Source organism: Homo sapiens, chromosome 5 (genome assembly GCF_000001405.40).
Source record: "Homo sapiens chromosome 5, GRCh38.p14 Primary Assembly".
Classification (NCBI taxonomy): Eukaryota; Metazoa; Chordata; class Mammalia; order Primates; family Hominidae; genus Homo; species Homo sapiens.
This window is the reverse complement of record NC_000005.10, coordinates 61648124-61666615: the sequence shown is the minus strand read 5'-3', so window position 1 is coordinate 61666615 and position 18492 is coordinate 61648124. Positions and strand designations below refer to the sequence as shown.

The 18492-nt window shown below is 44.7% G+C and overlaps 2 long non-coding RNA genes and 2 pseudogenes across 5 annotated transcripts in view; 3 read left to right on the top strand and 1 right to left on the bottom strand.

The window, feature by feature from the left end:
• Window positions 1-3459, top strand: part of LINC03152 (long intergenic non-protein coding RNA 3152) — a 35276-nt gene extending 31817 nt beyond the window's left edge. Inside the window, exon 8 of the long non-coding RNA NR_109910.1 lies at window positions 3073-3459. This is a non-coding gene — a long non-coding RNA (long intergenic non-protein coding RNA 3152). The remainder of the gene's footprint in view (window positions 1-3072) is intronic.
• LINC03122 (long intergenic non-protein coding RNA 3122) overlaps window positions 1-18492 on the bottom strand; it is a 93238-nt gene that overhangs the window by 64382 nt on the left and 10364 nt on the right. The gene's annotated exons all lie outside the window — the stretch shown is intronic.
• On the top strand, window positions 2377-2471 carry RNU6-913P (RNA, U6 small nuclear 913, pseudogene; annotated as a pseudogene).
• On the top strand, window positions 3324-3770 carry HSPD1P22 (heat shock protein family D (Hsp60) member 1 pseudogene 22; annotated as a pseudogene).

Below are 18492 nucleotides of genomic sequence, written 5' to 3'. Positions count from 1 at the left end.
ACACTCATCTGGGCCAGTCAGACCAAGGCTGGTTTCCTTGGGCTGGAACAAGCTCCTCTGGGAACAGCGTGGTGTGTTCACCTAGAGACCTCCTCCTGACAAAGGTTTTGGCTGTGTTGTCCCACCCACTTCCTCAGCTGAAAATGGGAAATGGGGCAAGTTGCTTCCCCTCCTGCTGGCTCAAATCCTATGACCCAAAGCACGGTCTCCATCTCAGCAACTTCCCTTCCAGAGGCCAAATATAGCCATCCCTTTCCTGGCTCACTAAAATTCCAGTCAGACTGCTGTGCACAGTGACAGACGGCCAAAGAGCATCTCACCAGCCCAGCCACAGCCCAAAATAACGGCCACTTGGTTAGCACAGACTGTGGACTTTTTCTTTTTTGTTGTTGTTGAGACTTCGTTCTGAGTTATTTTTTGTTTTGGTTTTGGATTTTGTTTCGTTTTTGTAGTTTGAAAGTAAACAGAGTATCTGAAGAAGTGGCTACACCAACTTCCTACATGAGGTTCCTGGGTTTAGTTCCAGCAGTGGTGGGTAATGACCAGAAATGTACTCACCTCTTAAATCTCCCCAGCCGCCTACCCAAAAGGAGGGGCTGACAAGCGCATTTCCTCCCCATTCTGTCCAGCAGTGCCTCCTGCACACCCCAGGTCATGCTGGGACCCACCCACCATGCTACATTTTCTCCTGGGTCTCGTGGAAGGAAGACTGGGGGAGGCTGTCCTGTGGGCTGGGTGGGGACACTTCCAGACTTGCACCCATGATGCTTCTGGGCAGTAGACAGGCCCCGCCCCCAAGCTGTCAGTTCGGTGCCCTCCACAAGTTCTAAAAGGCCTTAAATTATTAATTTATTTCTTTAAAAATACACCGTGCTCAACAACAACCAAGCCCACTTTTGATCTGCATCATGACACACAAGGCTCTTGTCAACCAGATTTTGTGCAGGCCAACAGACACATCTTATTAAATCTTACCTAGCGGGTGACATGAAATTGGAGCATGCTAAAGAGATTTAGGCTGGGAAAGATGATTGTCTTCTCCATGCCCTGTTTCCAAATGCAATGAGTAATAAGCAATTTTGCAAAACTATAACCTTCAACTGTTGGAACATCTTTGTACTTTTGTTCTTCAAAGGCAGAATGTTTTCTGGAATTATGTTTCTACCTGAGGAAAAAAATATACTCCTTCAATTTCTACATGTGCAAGCATATCACACAGATATATCTCATTTCTTGTCATGTTGTATGCTGTCTCAAGATCAATAAATAATTTATGCATTTAATGCATTTATCAGCTCTCGTGTGTGTGTGTATATATATATGTAAATCTCCTATGTGTTAATGTCAAAGATGTCTTCTATATTAACGGAAAGCAAGCAACCTCTTGGGTGTTTCACCACCATGAAATTAACTTTGCATCTTACCCATCAAATGAGTGAAAAGTGAGAACAGGTCCCTGCTCTTTATAGAAAACTAAACGCTAGTTTACAACAGATAAGGAGTTACAGTAGGAATTTCACATTGCTTATCTGCTGAAATTTCTCCCCTCCCTTATTTTTTTTTTCCAAAGAAGTTCTTTATTACTCCAGGGCCACTTAGATTGTAGAGGGAATACGGCTCCTAAATTTCAACTTGTTCTATTTAAGTTGCCTTTCCTTTGCTTCCCACTTGGAGTATTTATCATGCTTGTCGTTAAGAACTGCTTCTGAGCCCTCACAGTGCCAAGCCTGGGACCAGGTGCATACGTTTGGCAGTCCTCACCTCCACTGCCATCCACAGGCTCCAATTTGGATTTAACCATGGTCATCATTCACACCCTCATGGCAGCAGGATCTAGGGGTGCCACCAATATGATGACAGGCAGTGAGCATGAGCACTGGCAGCAACTGCTTTGGGCAAAGTCACGTGGCTGCACCTGGCTCATGCTTGCTGTTCTGAGCCTGTCCCCTCTTTCCACCCACCTTCCCCATTTGGAAGACTTCTGTGTTTCAGCAATGCCATGAAAGAACCCCCAGACTGATAGAATCTGAGAGGAATGGATCTCAAAAATAATCTCGTCCAAACTGCTCATTTAAAAAATAAGGAAATGGAGTACCTGAGGGGTTAATTTCCTTGGCCACACTCACACAGGTAGTTGCTGGCAGAGCAGAGACTGGAACTAAGTATTTGAACCCACTTCCAAGGCTCCTTCCACCATACCAGTGGCTCCCAACATTTGCTGGCACAACCCACAGTCAGAAGGAAACTTTACATCCTGATCCACACACGTGCACACATGTATGCAACTTACACAAACGTTTTACAAAACAATGCTTACTATGTGACACACTTTGATCTTTTCTATTGTCGTAGATTCATTTTAAAATATTCTGGAGATTGCTTAACAGCACATAGACTCAAACTGCAACCGTACAGAGAAGATTAGCATGGCCCCTGCACAAGGATAACATGCAAATTTTTCCCATATTTTTTGTACATTTACCAAATGTTACTTTTCTTTCCAGGGATAACATTTATAGGTATACAGTCCTATAGTTTGCATTTTTCTTAGTTAGATACATCCACTGAATATTTAGGAGGACGGGGGTTGAATTAGATACAGAACAGGGTCCCTTTTAGGTCTAAGCATCATGCTCCTGATCAGGAATGATCTTCCTGTCTACCTGTCCTCAGATTAGAATGATCTGAAAGACAGAATGATCTAGTAGACAGAACACTGGACTGAGAGTCAAGGCCCAGCATCTAGTCCTGGCTCCACCAACTGCTAACTGTGTAACTTTGGGCGAGTTTCCTCTGGGTTCCGTTAACTCATCTGCATGATCAAGCTGTTACTAACTGACAGAGTTCTGAGGAGTAAATGAAATAATGCAAATTAAAGCAATAAAAAGCTCTATGCACAAGACTTGTCCTGGAATAGCAATGATCTTCCATTCTCACATTTCAGAGAAATACGGTATCTAAAGAGGTTTCTGGATTCCATTCAAAACACCTGCATAATGTATTATGAATAAATTTGGTAGACTAAAGAAAAACCATACCCTGAAACTAGCTTATTTTTAAATGTTTTTGCAGGTGTTTGAAGAGGAGGGGCTCACTCTAAATCTTGAAGATGTTCAGCCTCGAAAAAGTAGAAGTCATTGTGACCAAAGATGATGCCACCATGCCTTTGAAAAAGAAAGGTGATGAGCCTCAAATGGAAAAATACATTCAAGAAAGGTCAATGCTAGTGAGTATGAATGAACACATAGCAAAAATTTCAGGTAGAACAGCCATGCCAAGGGCTGGTGGGACAGGTGAGGCCGAGTGAATAAAAAGAAGTAGCCCCAGAGACACTCAAGGTGGTTCCAGCTGCTTTTGAAGGAGGTTTCTTTCTAAGAGGTGGCTGGGCTTGGTTTCAGCGTATTCCAATTTGGGACTCATGAACTGCAACTAATAAAGATCAAAAAACTGATACAGAAATTGTTTTATAAAACATTCAATTCAAAATGCCTGCAGTGACCTTGACAAGAGCAGACGTTAGGAAGATCCCTGACAGCTGAGAACATTGTGTGAAGCCCCTCAGAAGTTAGTTGTGAAGCCCTGCGGGGAGATCTTTGGCTGCACAGGGGAGAGGATGGTGGGGAGGGGGACAGGCATCATTGTCACTATTATGGTAGGTAGGGCTGCTGCTTCTCTGCCTGAAACAGAGAAGAAGGTGTCAGGAAGATCCTAAAGAGAAGGACCCTGGCACAGGCAGACTGGGTGGAGGTGGCATGGGAGGCAGCGAGTTCTAACTCCTTAAATAGTGCTTTATCACTACTCAGGAACTGTTACGGGAAGCTCAGAGTTGTGCTTCTCACCAATAATCTTAGAGAAATCACTTCAAACAAGAGATTAAAGAAAAGGTTACAGGTTTCAGTAAAGGGTTCCGTTTGGCCAAGTATACGATGGTTTGTAGTTGTCATTGTCCATGCCTACTGATAACTTATTTTGTGTTTTTGAATGAAAAGACATTTGTACATTCCTTAAAATAATAATATTGTTAAAAAGCTGGTGACGCTCACAAAATCGATTCCACAAATCCCAAGCAGAGCATGTAGAGGCAGCGCACACAGGAGGCGCAGGCGGTGTGAGCAGCCCTCTGCTGTCCCTTCCCCTCCCACAGGCTCCCCCCAGCTGCTCTGACCACCGAGACACCCACTCCCGCTGCATCCCTCACATCCAAAGGCTCTTCCAGTGCCCTCTGGGACCTTGGTTCCAGGGTGAGCAACGCAACCAAGCTCGTGGGGAGGGCGGAGCACTCCATCCTCTTCCTGTGACCGCAGGGACCGTGGCTCTCCCGGGTGCTGCCCAGCCTACCCCAGGTAGTGAGCGCTTCATGGCCCCAAACTCCTGGGGACTGGAAAGGGCTTTGTGTCCTTCTACCTGTATGTAAACCCCCCCCACCCTCTCTTAGCCACCTGGTTGCCCAAAACCACCTGAACCTTCCGCTCACACCTTGGTAACTTACTGTCTTCTTTTCTGTCCTAGATCTTGCCATCAGGGTGGGCACTTTAATGTCCCTCCCTGTGGGCAGCACATCCAATACACTTGCCGTCCCTTTCTTTCCCTCCCTCACCTGGTGACACCCCTAACCTGCGAATGGCCTAGAGTGGTCCCACCTGAGATATTCTCAACCTGTATCCTGAAGCCTCATCACAGCCTCCTCTACTGAGATCCCGGTTCCCTTCAACCCGCTGCCCCTGACTTTCAATCTCCCTGAGCCCGTCCATGTCTGCTCTTCCCATTTCCTCATTCTCTCATCCCCCCCTTTTGGTTTTGCTTCCTTCCCCCTCCCACCTACACTCCAGGGCCTAGCACTTCAGCCCCATTTTTTACAATAGCCCCCTTCCTAAACCAACAGCCTATGAACCTGCTTCGTAGTGCACAGCCAGCAATGAAGCAAGAAAAGAATCGAGCACATAGCCCCAATATGTTCATAAATCGCATACATTTTACTACTGGGCTGACATTTTCTTCATTTTAAAACATATCACGAAAATGGAAAGGCACAAATGACATGATTTTAGAAGGCCAATATAATAAGCATTTCAGTATTTTCTGCCCATTCCCATTGGAGCATTTTGTACAGCCCCTGAGGGTGTGTGTACTCCAGTTTAGGGACCACAGCCCTAAACCCTATCACTCTCTTCTCCTTCTGTCACATCCACCCTACAAAGCCATCCCTGAGCCAGTCTAGTCATGAGTGTCCTGTTCTCTGCCAGGTGTCTAAGTGGTGTTAGAAGACACACTCAGTCCCAGTAACCTCTGGATATACTCTTTCAGCTCAGGGCAATGTCACTGAGAGCCTTCAAGGGGCAACAGTGAAGCTAGTTTGCAAGAAAACGTCTTTCATCTTCATCTATTGCCAGCACCCAGCACAGTGCCTGGCACTTGCCTGTGACCATGAATGCATTGATCTGTGCACACATGTGGCATCCACATCGCTCTGCCTACGTGGTTACCAAGGCATGAAGAGAACAATAGAGAGAGCCCTGACAGGTCAGGACATCCCAGCTGGGGCGCCTTTAGTTCTGAAGCTGTGTGAGGGTACCTTACCCTCACAGCACCTCTGTCTGCCCATAATGGCCCAAGCAATAGACTGGCCCTCAGAATGTGCCTGAGGCAGTTTAATTAAGGCCATTTTGGCACTTGACTATTCCAGAAGGTTGTATGGAGGTGGGAAATAGGGCTCTTTCAATCTTCTCTTCAATGCTGGCAGCAACCCTGGCTCAGGGCACAGCTGTACCCCCATTTCCTTCAGATGTCCCCTCACAGAAGGATGCCGCTGTCAGAGCAAAGGGGTGAGCAGGAGAGTGACAGAGCTTAAAGAGCAGCCTCCAGTGGACACAATGTAGACTGGATTTGAGCAGGGCCTCCAGGGTAAGCACAACGAGAGGTGCTGGAAGAGCCAAGGATATGTGTTTGACCTACCTTCCTCTCTGGCCATGGAGGGCATCTCTTTCTCTCTGTCTCTCTCTGTCTCTCTCTGTCTCTCTCTCTCTCTCTCTCTCTCTCTCTCTCTCTCTCACACACACACACACACACACACACACAGAGAGAGAGAGAGAGAGAAGACAGCTATGGCACTTTCTCAGGAGGTAAACATGATTTAGGCAAAATTCCCTCACTTCCTACAGTTCTTTTATCTTCTCTTTCTCCCTTCCTCGTCCAGTGTTTCTTAATGACTGGTCATGGACTGACCCCTGAATCAAAGTCACTAAAGCCCTGTTATCAGTGCAGATTCCTGGTGTCATCTCAGACTAAGAGAATTAGCAAGTCTGAAACTGGAGCAAGGGACTCTGCATTTAAACAAAGTTTTGCCCATTAAAGTTTGAGCACCACTGAAAAACTCTCTCTTCTTCTCCTGTGTTCTTCCCAACTATGCATCCCTAATCTGTGGCCTGCATCCATCTAGCCACCATTCCCCTCTGCCCCTCCACTCCTGAGGCCATCATGATGAAGCCAGTGGGAACTCCAGTGGAAGGACCCAGACAGGAATAAGATCACCTGGGCCTTCACCTTCCTTCACCGACCGAGAGCTCTTCTCTTCCTGCGCTTTTATTTTAATCTAGGACATCCCCTCACTTGGCTCCTAGAGGCCCTGTTTCATTTAATTTGGCCTCCTTGCCCAAGCAGAATCCTGGGCAAGCCTGGGAACCTAATACCCTGAATTCAAATGAAGTTGCCTGGAGGAAACTGAATGAATCAGGTAGCTAAGATTTGGCCTAACGTTGATCTATTTTTGGCCAAAGCCAACCTCCACTAATAGGTCTCTACTAATAGACTTGCAAAGATGGAGCTCTGAATCAATGCTAAACAAGAGTTATAAATCATGAAGACGTTTGCTGTCTTTTTACCTCCCAGGGATGGGAGTGAATGGGAGAGGACTCTGACCATGAAGCGCTCTAATCTAAACTCGGAGAAAATTCTCCCAGCCATTCTTCTGCTCACAGAATTTCCGCGGCACCAGTCTCCCTGCAGCTTTGACAAGTGAGCTATTTTAGTATGAGAACAAGTAGAGTTATTGTTATCTCTGCTCTGAATCAAGGATAAAAAGAAAAGGTGAGCGGGAGAAGGAGGGTGTGAGAGAGAAGAACTGGGGGTGAGGTGCGGAAAAGCAGAAAGGACTTCAGATACCGAAAGAAAAGGAGCCAGGTGCTCTTCCCGGCAAGGAAGTCACCAGCCGGCCGGTTTGTGGATTGAAATCAGCACGTGACCCCTCAGCAACCATAGTAACAGTCCCTCCCTCTGGTCTCACAGGGCTCTGGAGGGGTGAAGACAGCACGATACATGCCAAGGTGCCTTGTCAGTGGTGAAGTGTTGTCTACACAGGGTGGCAGCTCCCTGTTTGACCAGGGAGCTACTGCGCCTTTCCCACAACCCCACCCAAAGACTCAGGACGGCCCAGGCCAGAAGGAAATTTAGACAGTAGACCCTCCGTCAGCAGATACCTTTCCCTGCTCTTCCTACCGGGTCACCTAGACCCTTAACAAGGGTGCTATTTTAGCAAGAAACTGAAAATAAAAAGAGAATCTGCCCTCCGAACATGCTGAACACTTATTTTAGCACACAGCCCCATGGAGGGTCAGCGCTCCACGCATGTTTTAAAGCGTTTGTGCCTATTTATTTTGAGACCGGCAGGGCCTGAGTGAGCCACAGCTTCCTGGATTCTGCTTTGTCAGCAAGGAAGATTTGCTGCCATAGATATGCTGAGCTCCCTCTGGGGCCCCCCTTCTCCTGGAATCTGACTGAGATGAGAAGTTTATCCCAGCACTTAAATGAAGAGACTTCCTCCAGCTCCCACTTCTGCCTCACCCCTCCGCCTACCACTGACAAACAGGCCTGGCTGCAAGGTGTGCGTGTCACCAGGACCTGGCCACCAGAGGGCGACAGAGAGCAATGAGGGTCGAACAGTTTCCCAGAAGGAGCCAAATCCCCTGACACATCTGCTCCCTCCTCCAGCCCAAAAACTGCCAGACTTGCTAGCATTTGCCAGTCCACCGAAACAAACATCTCACCTTCATCGTACAGTTCCTTGGTAAACTCTTATTTTCTTCTTTATCAAGTTTGGATGGAAAACAAAACAATTAATTTTAAGAGCAGCACACAAGAACCTAAACATTATTTATGTCTCTAATTATCTTGTTCTGGTGGGTATTTTAGTCCCTGTCTGGTCAGCACATTAATTATCTTCATAACTACAGCAAAAGTTAAATAATAAGCACCCAAGGCTACAGCACTACTGTAATGTGCAAGCTTAAATGAACTTATAAATTTTATTAATGGATGCTTTATACAACTCCTTATATTATAAATCAAACAAGAAACCTATTTCTGTCTTTTAAGGGTATGGTGAAAAAGCTTTAACATTATTGAGGATAATTTTTATTAAGTTTAAAACTCCCTTTTTCCAGTAATGAGACTGTTATGAGGATAATTTAATCTAGTTTGTCATGAGGCACCCCGGCTTGTTAAATAAGTTAATAAATGACTGTGCATTAATCAAAGTGACAAAGCTATGAAGAGCTGGGGATGGGAGACAATTCTGGTGATAGTATTAATTAGTATTTAATTAGAAACTTAGGGCCCATAAATAAAAAAAAAATCATGGTAGAGACATTTATGCAAATTGCTCAGAGCCTGCAGTGGAGTTAGCTTTGCTTTAAAGAAACATGATTTTTTTTTCTAACATACTGTACACGGCAGCACTGTGGCCACATCACGTGGCTTAAACGAGCTCTTCTTTTGTTTCCAATTTGTTCCAATTACAGGCCTGTAAATTCAAATCATTCTTTTGACTGTCTTGATTGAAATGTAGAGTTTCCACAATTTCTACTGGGAGTTCTGTTTTTTTCTTCTTTTAATAAAAAAGGAGAAGTGTTTTAAAGACATAAAGAAGAGCTTTAGATTCTTTTTCTGCTCTTTTAATTAAGATGTGTGCCACCATTTTCTAAGAACAATTGTGGATTCCATTTGGTACACAAACAATGCCTCCTTTTTCAATCCTGGTGAGCTGTAACTAGGTTTTGTTATGTGATATAATATTGAAGACTGCATAGATTCAACTGCCATCATTTTTATGATAATCATAGCACTTTTAGCTTTTCTCTCAATAATGTACTTGGATAAATGGGCAATTTTTGATGGCCCAAAAAGATAATAACCGTTTGGTTCTGAACGTCACTGCTTTCCTAAGGTACATGTTCCCCCTTTTCAGACTTTATTATTTGTTGCATTTATTCAAGAAAGGTTATCCACAGTAAAACTGCTTTTTCTATTCAACAGTCTATCTCTGTCATGGTTCATTTATGTGTGAGCATGACGGACTGAAGCCCGTATTATCCACAGCTGACAAGTGTCAGGCCGACAGTTCAATCAGCCCTTCCTCGAGATGATGCCCAGGGCCCCGTGTTTGAAGTAGGACAATAAAGCAGGCAACACAATCCGGGCAAACTGATCCGATCCCTGTATGTAAAGGGGATTCTGCTTAATAACACAGTGTGGTTTTTTTCCCTCTCCAAACACATTAGTCCTTAAACAGTGAGTTGGCCCTTAAGAAAATCTGTGACTGACATGAAAATGCTGAAGTTTTAAGGTGGTTGGTTTATCCGTAACCTCATGGGGCTGCTTCTTTGTGCAGACTAGTTTTGTCAAAGTCAGAAAAATAATGTATTCAGTGTCTGATCATTTTTAGGGAGTTATTCGAATGGGATTTTAAGTCAGACATCCTGATGTTGACACAGGGATCATTTTCTTGTCCTTTTGTTTTACATTTGTGGAACAGATCATTTGCATTGGCTAATAAAATTAAATCTCTGAAATGCATACAAAAGTGAGTTCCCTTCAGCAACAATCCTCAATTCCCTCCACCAGCCGAGTAAGCAGAGTTGCTGGGTGTGTTTCTTTATATTGGGTCTCTCTAGAACACAGGCTATAATGCAAACATATCTTCAAAATTAGTGCTCCTTCGGCCTGGGTAACACTTAGACTCAAATGTATATTAAAGTATTTCACTACAGATCCTGACAATCAACAGCAGAGCCAAAGTCGATAAAATGCTAATAACCTGCTGCGGTCTGTTCCTTGGAGGACTGGGGTACTGCTGTTGTGCTCTCTTCCAGCCTTCAAACCATTGCAGGCGACAACGGGCAAGGGAAGGCGGCTCACCCCTTTAGAAGGGGCCAGAGCACTACATGCCTTTCATAAGGAGGAAGCCAAAGACCCTCTTAAAGCATCATAAAACCTTCAAGCCAGAAGGCACAATGCAAAACATCAAACCCAACCTCTTCCATACTTGATGAATGAGGCTCAGAGACATTTTTGTGACTTCCAACGTCAGAGAGCTTGTAAGTAGCAGTGGAAGGAAAAGGTTAACAACAACAACAAAAGAATCCTCTGAATTTTGCTTCTCTTTATATGACTTTACTAGGCTGGGCAAGTTAGTGCAGAAGGGACTGATGAAAAGCAGAATCCAGAAGTCAGAACGTGAGGAATGATGCCGGCAACTACCAAACATGACTTCTGTCAATTTCCTTCTTGCACAATGCTGGAAGTCCTAAGTAACGTATTTTCTGTGAATGTTGGTTTTTCTCCGTCTACCCTGCTCTGTCCGAATCTACCCATTTACTGCATTCTCTCCCCCACTTTGACCCCACAGACCACATCACCCAAACACCCTTGGCTGCTGGCTTCCAACTGTATTAGAGACGAGGGGAGGCACTAATGGCCAGTCAAGTGGGAAGAGAGAAGCTACACTGTGTCCTTGTCCCCTGCTTGGACTCCCCATCTCAGAAGAAGACTGTGTCCCTCCAGCACTCCTGCTTCCACCGAGAGGCTCTTCCTCCAGGGCTCCAACTATCATGGGCCCCAGTCCCTCAGTTTCCTCCCCTTGGCCCTTCATCCTTGGGGATACCAGCTCCCCACTGGTGCTAAACTTGGGGTGCCTCCCATCTCTTGTTTGTCCACCTACCTCTGCCCACACTTCTGAAGTAGCCCCTTCTTTAAAGTCTCCAGCAGAACCATCTCCAGTGAGTTCTGTTTCCTGCTGGGACTCTGATGCATTGAGTGATTTGCATTGCTAACTGATCCTACTTCTAGTCCAGTAGTTCTTAGGATATTCTAAAATCCCACAGAGAATCTGATGAAAGCTATAGGATCTCTTCCCACACACACAAAAAAGTCACTTCTGCACATATGCATAAAATTTCAGACAACTGTGGCATGCTCATAGACACTTAAAGGCTATTTACAAATTTTCTAGGGCATCCATGAAACCCCCAATATCAAACACCCATTTGCTCCATTTGATCATATCACGTCCTTCTCAAAAGCCTCTCCTGATGTCAAATCAACTACCAGAAAGCATGAAACCCAGACTCCTCAGAGCAGCATTTCAGGCTAAATCTGCCAGGGCCCCATTAACAAAAGAGCTGAAGGGGAAATTTAATACAGGGGAGTTGTTGCAAAGGTGGAGAAAGAGGTGAAATGACAAGGGCAATGGTAAGGCAATCCAAAGATCAGCACCAGCAGCAAGCCAGGAATGAGGCCTGAGGGTCAAAGGAAAGAGGTGATGTCACCAAAGCCCAGGAGCCAGGGCTGTCCGGGGGAGCCAAAATCATAACAGGGGTCTCTCGACAGGAGCTGGAGTCCAGAAAAAAGACCCAGCCACAGCTGGTGATGCTGCCAAAGCAGAAAGAGAAGGTGAGGACTCTCAGGGCTTCTTTTCTCCTGCAGCTCTCCAGTCTTCACAGACCACATGACTCAGCAGCTAGCTGAGCAAAAGCCTGCAGGGATGCCTGAGGACCAGGGCAGGGGGAAGGCTGCGATGAGCATAAGATACAACAGGCCAGCCCAGGCATGGTGGCTCACGCCTGTAATCCCACCACTTTGGGAGACCGAGGCAGGTGGATCATCTGAGGTCAGGAGTTCAAGACCAGCCTGACCAAAATGGTGAAACCCCATCTCTACTAAAAATACAAAACTTAGCCAGGCATGGTGGCGGGCGCCTGGAGTCCTAGCTACTCAGGAGGCTGAGACAAGAGAATTGCTTGAACCCAGGAGGCGGAGGTTGCAGTGAGCCAAAATCGCACCACCGCACTCCAACCTGGGTGACAGAGCAAGACTCTGTCTTAAAAAAAAAAAAAAAGGTACAACAGGCCAATGAGTCATACAAAAACCCTTCCTGACCTGGCCTCTCCTGCTCATGCAGCCATGATAGAACCTGGGTTCTCATATCTGTTGTGCACTAACTGTGTGTCAGGCACTGGTTCAAGGAGGAAAGCTGCAGTATTCAGCCCAAGAGTTGCAAGTAAATAAGACCGAGCCTGGTGAATTGCTCAGACAGAAAAGTAGCAAGAGTGGTAAATTAGAGCGGGAGACCACAGAGGCTTGGGGAGGCTGGTGGGACGATGTCAGGGGTTTATTCCAGGGATAGGAAGAGAGAGAAACTTGGAACAGATTAATCAGACTTTAGAAAATGTGATTGACAGATTGGGAAGAAACCAAAAAACCACACCCCTGGGTATTCTGCTCTAGTCTTTAAGGGGCCAGATGTACTGACAGCAGTCGTTGTTCCTTGGAAACCCCTGGGGAGCTTAAAAAAAATCATGATGCCTGGGTCCACCCAGTGGTGTGCTAGAGCCAGTTCTTCCCAGCTCAGAAAAGATGGCTGTTAAATTTTCAGGAATTTTCAGAGCCAATTGTTAAACACAGTCATTATTAAAGATCAAAAGACATAAGCTTATAATTAAATAAGTCATTGAAAATAAAGGTAATAAATACTCAAAACTTATCACTTCATAATAATTTTACTACTCCTATGCTTTTGAGGTTGCTTACCACATCTGAATGGTGGCAACACTATATTAAGACGTGTTGTTATGTATCTCTTCCCAATTCCATGGTCAGTGCCATCACATCGACAGAAATTAGCAAACACTATAAATCAGGGCTTGATTTATCGTATTGTTGATTGTCTACATAAGAGGTTGGCAAATTACAGCCCACAGGTCAAATCTAGCCTGAAGTCTATTTTTGTATGTCCTACAAGTTTGTACAGTTTTAAAGGATTCTTTTTTTGAAGGAGGAGGAGGAAGACATCATTTGTGGTCCACAAAGCATAAAATATTTACTATCTGACCCTTTATTGCAACACTTTGCCAAGCCCTGGTCTATACTTAAGAAAATGTTAATAATGCAAATTAAACTTAATGTACATTGTGTCTGTAACTATTACATTATAAATAGCACAGAAAACTGAGAAAATATTCTCCCAGTGTTGAAAACTATTACCTCATCAGCAAAGAAGTCTCTCATGTGATTAATGAACAAGTAAAATTCCAACATACATCTTCATTGTTTTACTTTCATGTTATCTGTTAATGTAAATGAAAATATCAACCAACATTCATGTTGAAACTACATTCATGGGTCAGTGACTGAATTTGGACAGTAGTCAAGCATTTATTTGTAGACTGATTTTGTCAAATCATGGTTGAATTGCAGCCCTAGGTTAACTACAGACAAAAGAGTTCAGCAAAAATGCAGGAAAGCATTACCTGAGACTCAAGTTGCAGGAGAGCATTCTATAATAAAGAGTATTGTATATTTCATTATTATTTGTAAGTTGTATACCATACATCCTTTTCATCAGTAAAATTATAATAAATTTATCTACATGTATACATGAACACTGGTTTTCCAGAGAGCTGGTTATTAAACTTTTACCAGCACATACTTAGCCTACTCCTAGAGTTCGCTTTAATTGTTCTGGGATGTGACCTTGGCATCAAAGTGCTTAAAACTTCCCCCATGTTACTCCGATATATAGCCAATGCTGAGAATCTCTGGCTTGGGGAAAAGGCAAAAATGCAGGCCATAGAATCCCTTAAGATTTTATTCCCTTTGGTCAGAAAGTCCACTTAAGCCTGCCCATGATGGCCCTGGGAGTGAGAATGAGGTGTGTGTGTGTGTTAAGAGTAGGGGAGGATAGGGGGCTGCCTCAGGAACTGGACACACTTCACAGGGTCAATTATAAATCAGTTGTTTGATTTATAGACACATCTGACCTTTATCCACCCTCTCTGAACAAAATTTTCCTGGAGCAATGTTCTCACAGTCTCCTAGACATGCTGCTATTCTTTCTTTTCCCAGAGTTACTCTCACTCTAACTCCACCAAGGACCACTTTTCCTCTTCTGTTTCTTACCTCAATTTTACCCATCCCTCACACTGCAGCTAGATATCCCATCTTCTATCAGCAATGACAGACCCATTCATGGCCCACTCCAGTTTCGTTCACCCCTTGCTAATGAAACCTTGTTTATTAGGACAGCCCTGTGCCCAAACTAACTATTGTTTCCAGGCCTCCCCTGTAGCCAAGTGAGGCCAGTGGGACACAGTTTTAGCTAACGAGACCTAAGCTGAAGTCTGATGAGGGTTCGGGGCCGAGCATGTGCTTTCCCAATAGACATGTTCAAGGCAGCTTGGTGCAGACTCTGCCCCGCTTCTCTGCAGCAGTCATTTCCAGAGCATGAGGCAACCAGCCCACAAGCAAAGGACGGAAGAGTAGAAAAGCAAAAGGAGCTGGTGTTTTGATATCGTCACTGAGCCACAACCCCAGCCCCTGGTTTCTTGCCATTGGAAGTCTCATTCTGTGAGAAAAATAAATCCCAAATTGTTCAAGCCACTCCTGGTTGGACATTCCGTGGCTGCAACCAGATGCAATCCTAAGAGAAATGCCAGTCCAGCAATCCCACAGTGATTGCCCCGTCTGTAACTCTAAACTCCTACAGATTTGTTCTGTAGCACCTAGAACAGCAATCTCCAATGAGTGAATTGGTCATTCCCCCAGATGTTTCATTATAAATCAGTTGTCTGGTATTTGGGTGTACTTCCCCTCTAAGATTGGACTATTTCAGAAACTCCAGAGCAAAGGTTGATAGTATGTCAACTCTCGGAATAATGAAGGTGATTAGAAACAACATTTATGCAGACGTAGGCTCACATAGCTTTACAAAGAAGTTGGGTCTCTAACAGTGATTGGTAAATAGAGAAGATATGGTAAAGAAGGATTCCCAAGGATTTAACTTTTGTCCATGACTTACTTTTAAGGCAGAAGGAATGTGTGTAGGTACAGCATGAACTCAGTGGGTGCATGTGCTTACATCAGAATGTAAAGGGTGTAGAGCTTGGAAAGGCCACATCTTAATAGTGCATGAGTCAGTGACAAGTGTACACTGAGCTTAGCAGAGCACATTAGCAATAACTATTACATACACGGTTGCATTCTATTTTTGTATCACATTAACGGATATATTATTGGTAATTGTTCTTAATAGAATCACAGAAATGAGAGATGGAAATGCTATACAGTATGATGGAATGCTTTCTTTTACCATTGATCATTATAATAAGCCTGCTCAGTCATTACTTACCAACCATACTACAACTTTGCCAATGAGGCAGACCAAAATGAGGAGATAAACAAAATTGGTTTCCTTGCTAAATGCAAAGCCTAAGTTTTAAGATATTTTGCTGAAGTTTTAAACTGATTGTCAATTAGTCAATGAGCTATGGCAGGCAGTGTATTTCTGTGTAATTAGTGTGTGTCTTAGGGGGGTTATTTGGCATGAGGCTGAGGGCAAAGTAATTTGTATCTCCCAGGAAGTGCAATAATTGCCTCAAGCTGAACTGCTTCGAAAGTGTATTAATTCTATTAGGAAACATTTATGTTATTTTTATATGGCATCCTATATATTCATGAAATGTACTCATAGACCATGAATTATTCATTTTGGAGGCTCTGCCACATGAGTATGGTATCATTGATAACCAGGGAAAAGAGTGGGGTTATTTCTCCCCTTGGAGAAGGCACGCACTGTTGGAAAAGATGCATGTTGGGTTTTGAAATCCATCTCATTAGGAGACCACTGAATCCTAACAGGCAGAAGAGGTAGTTTTCAGAAAGCTAAGTCAAAGGTAACACCATTTGCTTGAAACTAGCTGTTCAGGAAGCCAATAGGCCTTCTGTTTGGGTTTGTTATGCAGTCTGTGTGAGAAGACATGTGAGAGCAGAGAGCTATGGTGATTACAGGCTAGATCTTGGCACATTTGGACAACCGCTTCCCCATCCCTGTTCAGGAGGTTCAGGGCACAACTAAGCCATTCATTCCTTCATTCATTCAACAAGTATTTCCAAATGAATGCTCAGTGTGCTAGTTATCAATTGTTGTGTAACAAATCACCCCAGTTTAGCAGCTTAAAACAGCACGGATTGTCTCACGGCTTCTGTGGGTCAGAAATCACATATGGCTTAGCTGGACCCTCTGTGTTCCGGTCTCTCACAAGGCTGCAGTCTAAGGCCAGCCCAGGTCCTGTGGCCTCCTCTCAAGGCTCCTCTGGGGAAGGATCTGCTTCCAAGTTCTGTGCTAAGGCCTCAATTTCTCAAGGGCTGGTGGACTGAGGCCCGAACTTCCCTGATGGATGTTGACCAGAGGCCAGCCCTGGTTCCTTGCCACAGGGGTCTCTCCAGTACAAAACTTGCTTCATCAAAGTGTGAATGCCAAAGAATGTAGTAGAAAGAGTCTGCTGGCGAGACATAGGTCACTATCTTTTGAAACTTAATTGCAGAAATGACATCCCGTCACCTTTGCAGTCTATTGATTCAAAGCAAATCACTGGATTCAGATGACACAGAAGGAGAGGGGACCACACATGTGCATGAAAACCCAGTGGTGGGATCTTTAGGTCCTTTGTTAGCCTGCCTGCCATGGCCAGCCTCTGCCCTCATAGCTTCCTAGTCTACCAGAGGTTCTGGAGGCTGAAAGAGAATAACAAGAGAGACCTAATGTAGGGTGGGTGAGTAGGGGAAGCCTCTCTGCATAAGTGACATTTAATTTGAAGACTCAATAATGAGGAAAAGTTAGTTAGTACAGAGTTGGGGAAGAGCATGACATGTTTGAGGAACTGAAATGAGATCTGAGTGGCAGGAACAGAGTGCACAGGGGGAAGGTGGGACAAGGTGAGGTTGGAGAGGTAGGCAGGGGCTGGATCGTGCCAGGTTGGAGGTCAGGATGAGAAGTTTAAATTTTATTCTGAGTGCAAGTGGGAAGCCACTGGAGGATTTTAAGCACAGAGTGACATGATCCAATTTACATTTTTAAAAGATCACCCTTGCTGCTGCACAGAGAGTGAATTGGAAGCAGAGAGAGCAGTTAGGAGCCTCTGCTGGCAAAAGGTGGTGATAACCTGCATTCGGAGGTGGTGGGGAGATGGAGCGAGGCGGATGCATATGGGATGAGTTTAGAGTTTAAAAACAACATTCTCAGTGAGAATATGTGTCCATCAAGTTACCAGGTTATTTTACTCCTTCTTCTCTTTGTTCATTTTTTAAGAGAAATAAAGAGAAAGATGAAGAAAGGATCACATAAAGCTGATGGGAAGAGAATAAGGTGGACATAGTAAGACATCTGAGGCTGAAAAGGGAGGAAGTAGCAAGTGCACAGGATGGAGCAGAGCATGGGAAGAGCATGGACCCAGCCCTGTGCCCCTAGGCTGGGTCAGCTCGGGGCTTCCATTTCCTCCTCTGTAAAATATCTGCCTTTCAGGATTAGTAAAAGGATTAAATAAAATAATAACCTCGTACAGATCCTGGAAATTTTTTCCATGGCTCCTTCACTCACTTTTTTTTATTTTTTTTAATTTTACAGACAGGGACTCACTCTGTTGCCCAGGCTGAAATGTAGTGGCAACATCATAGCTCACTATCACCCTGAACTCCTGGACTCAAGGGATCCTCCTGCCTCAGCTTCCCAAGTAGCTAGGACTACAGGCGTGCACCATCATGTCCAGCTAACTTTTTAAAAAAAATCTTTTGGAGAGACAGAGTCTCAGTATGTTGCCCAAGATCTCAAGCTCCGGGGCTCAAGTGATCCTCCTGCCTCCACCTCCCAAAGTGCTGGGATTACAGGTGTGAGCCACCGCACCTGGCTCTTCACTCACTTTGTTCAGATCTCCACTCAGTTGCCACAACCTCCCTGGCTGCTCCAGCTGAAATAGCACAGCCCCATCTCCATCCCTCTCTAATCCCATACCCAACTCCAGTCGGCCTACTTTCCTTTGTTCACTCTGCATTCTCAAGGCCTAGAAGAGTTCCTGGCATGCAGTGGGTACTCAGGAATATGAGCGGAGTGTGGCAGGGCGTTGTCGCTGAACACCAGCATCCTGCATCCTGGGCAGGCTGTCTTCAGTGCGGGTGTTCCAGATAGCTTGGGGAGCCTGCTTAGGACATAGGTGAGTAACAGCCACTCACACAGCTGAGTATAACTTACATAGTACCTTACAACATACAAAGGACTTTGCATGGGCCCCGTGTTTAAATACTGCTAGCCCATCTCTGAGATAGGTAATGTTCTCATTTACAGATGAGGCAACTGCAGAGGAGAATTAACAAACTTCTCCAAAGTCCAGAAAC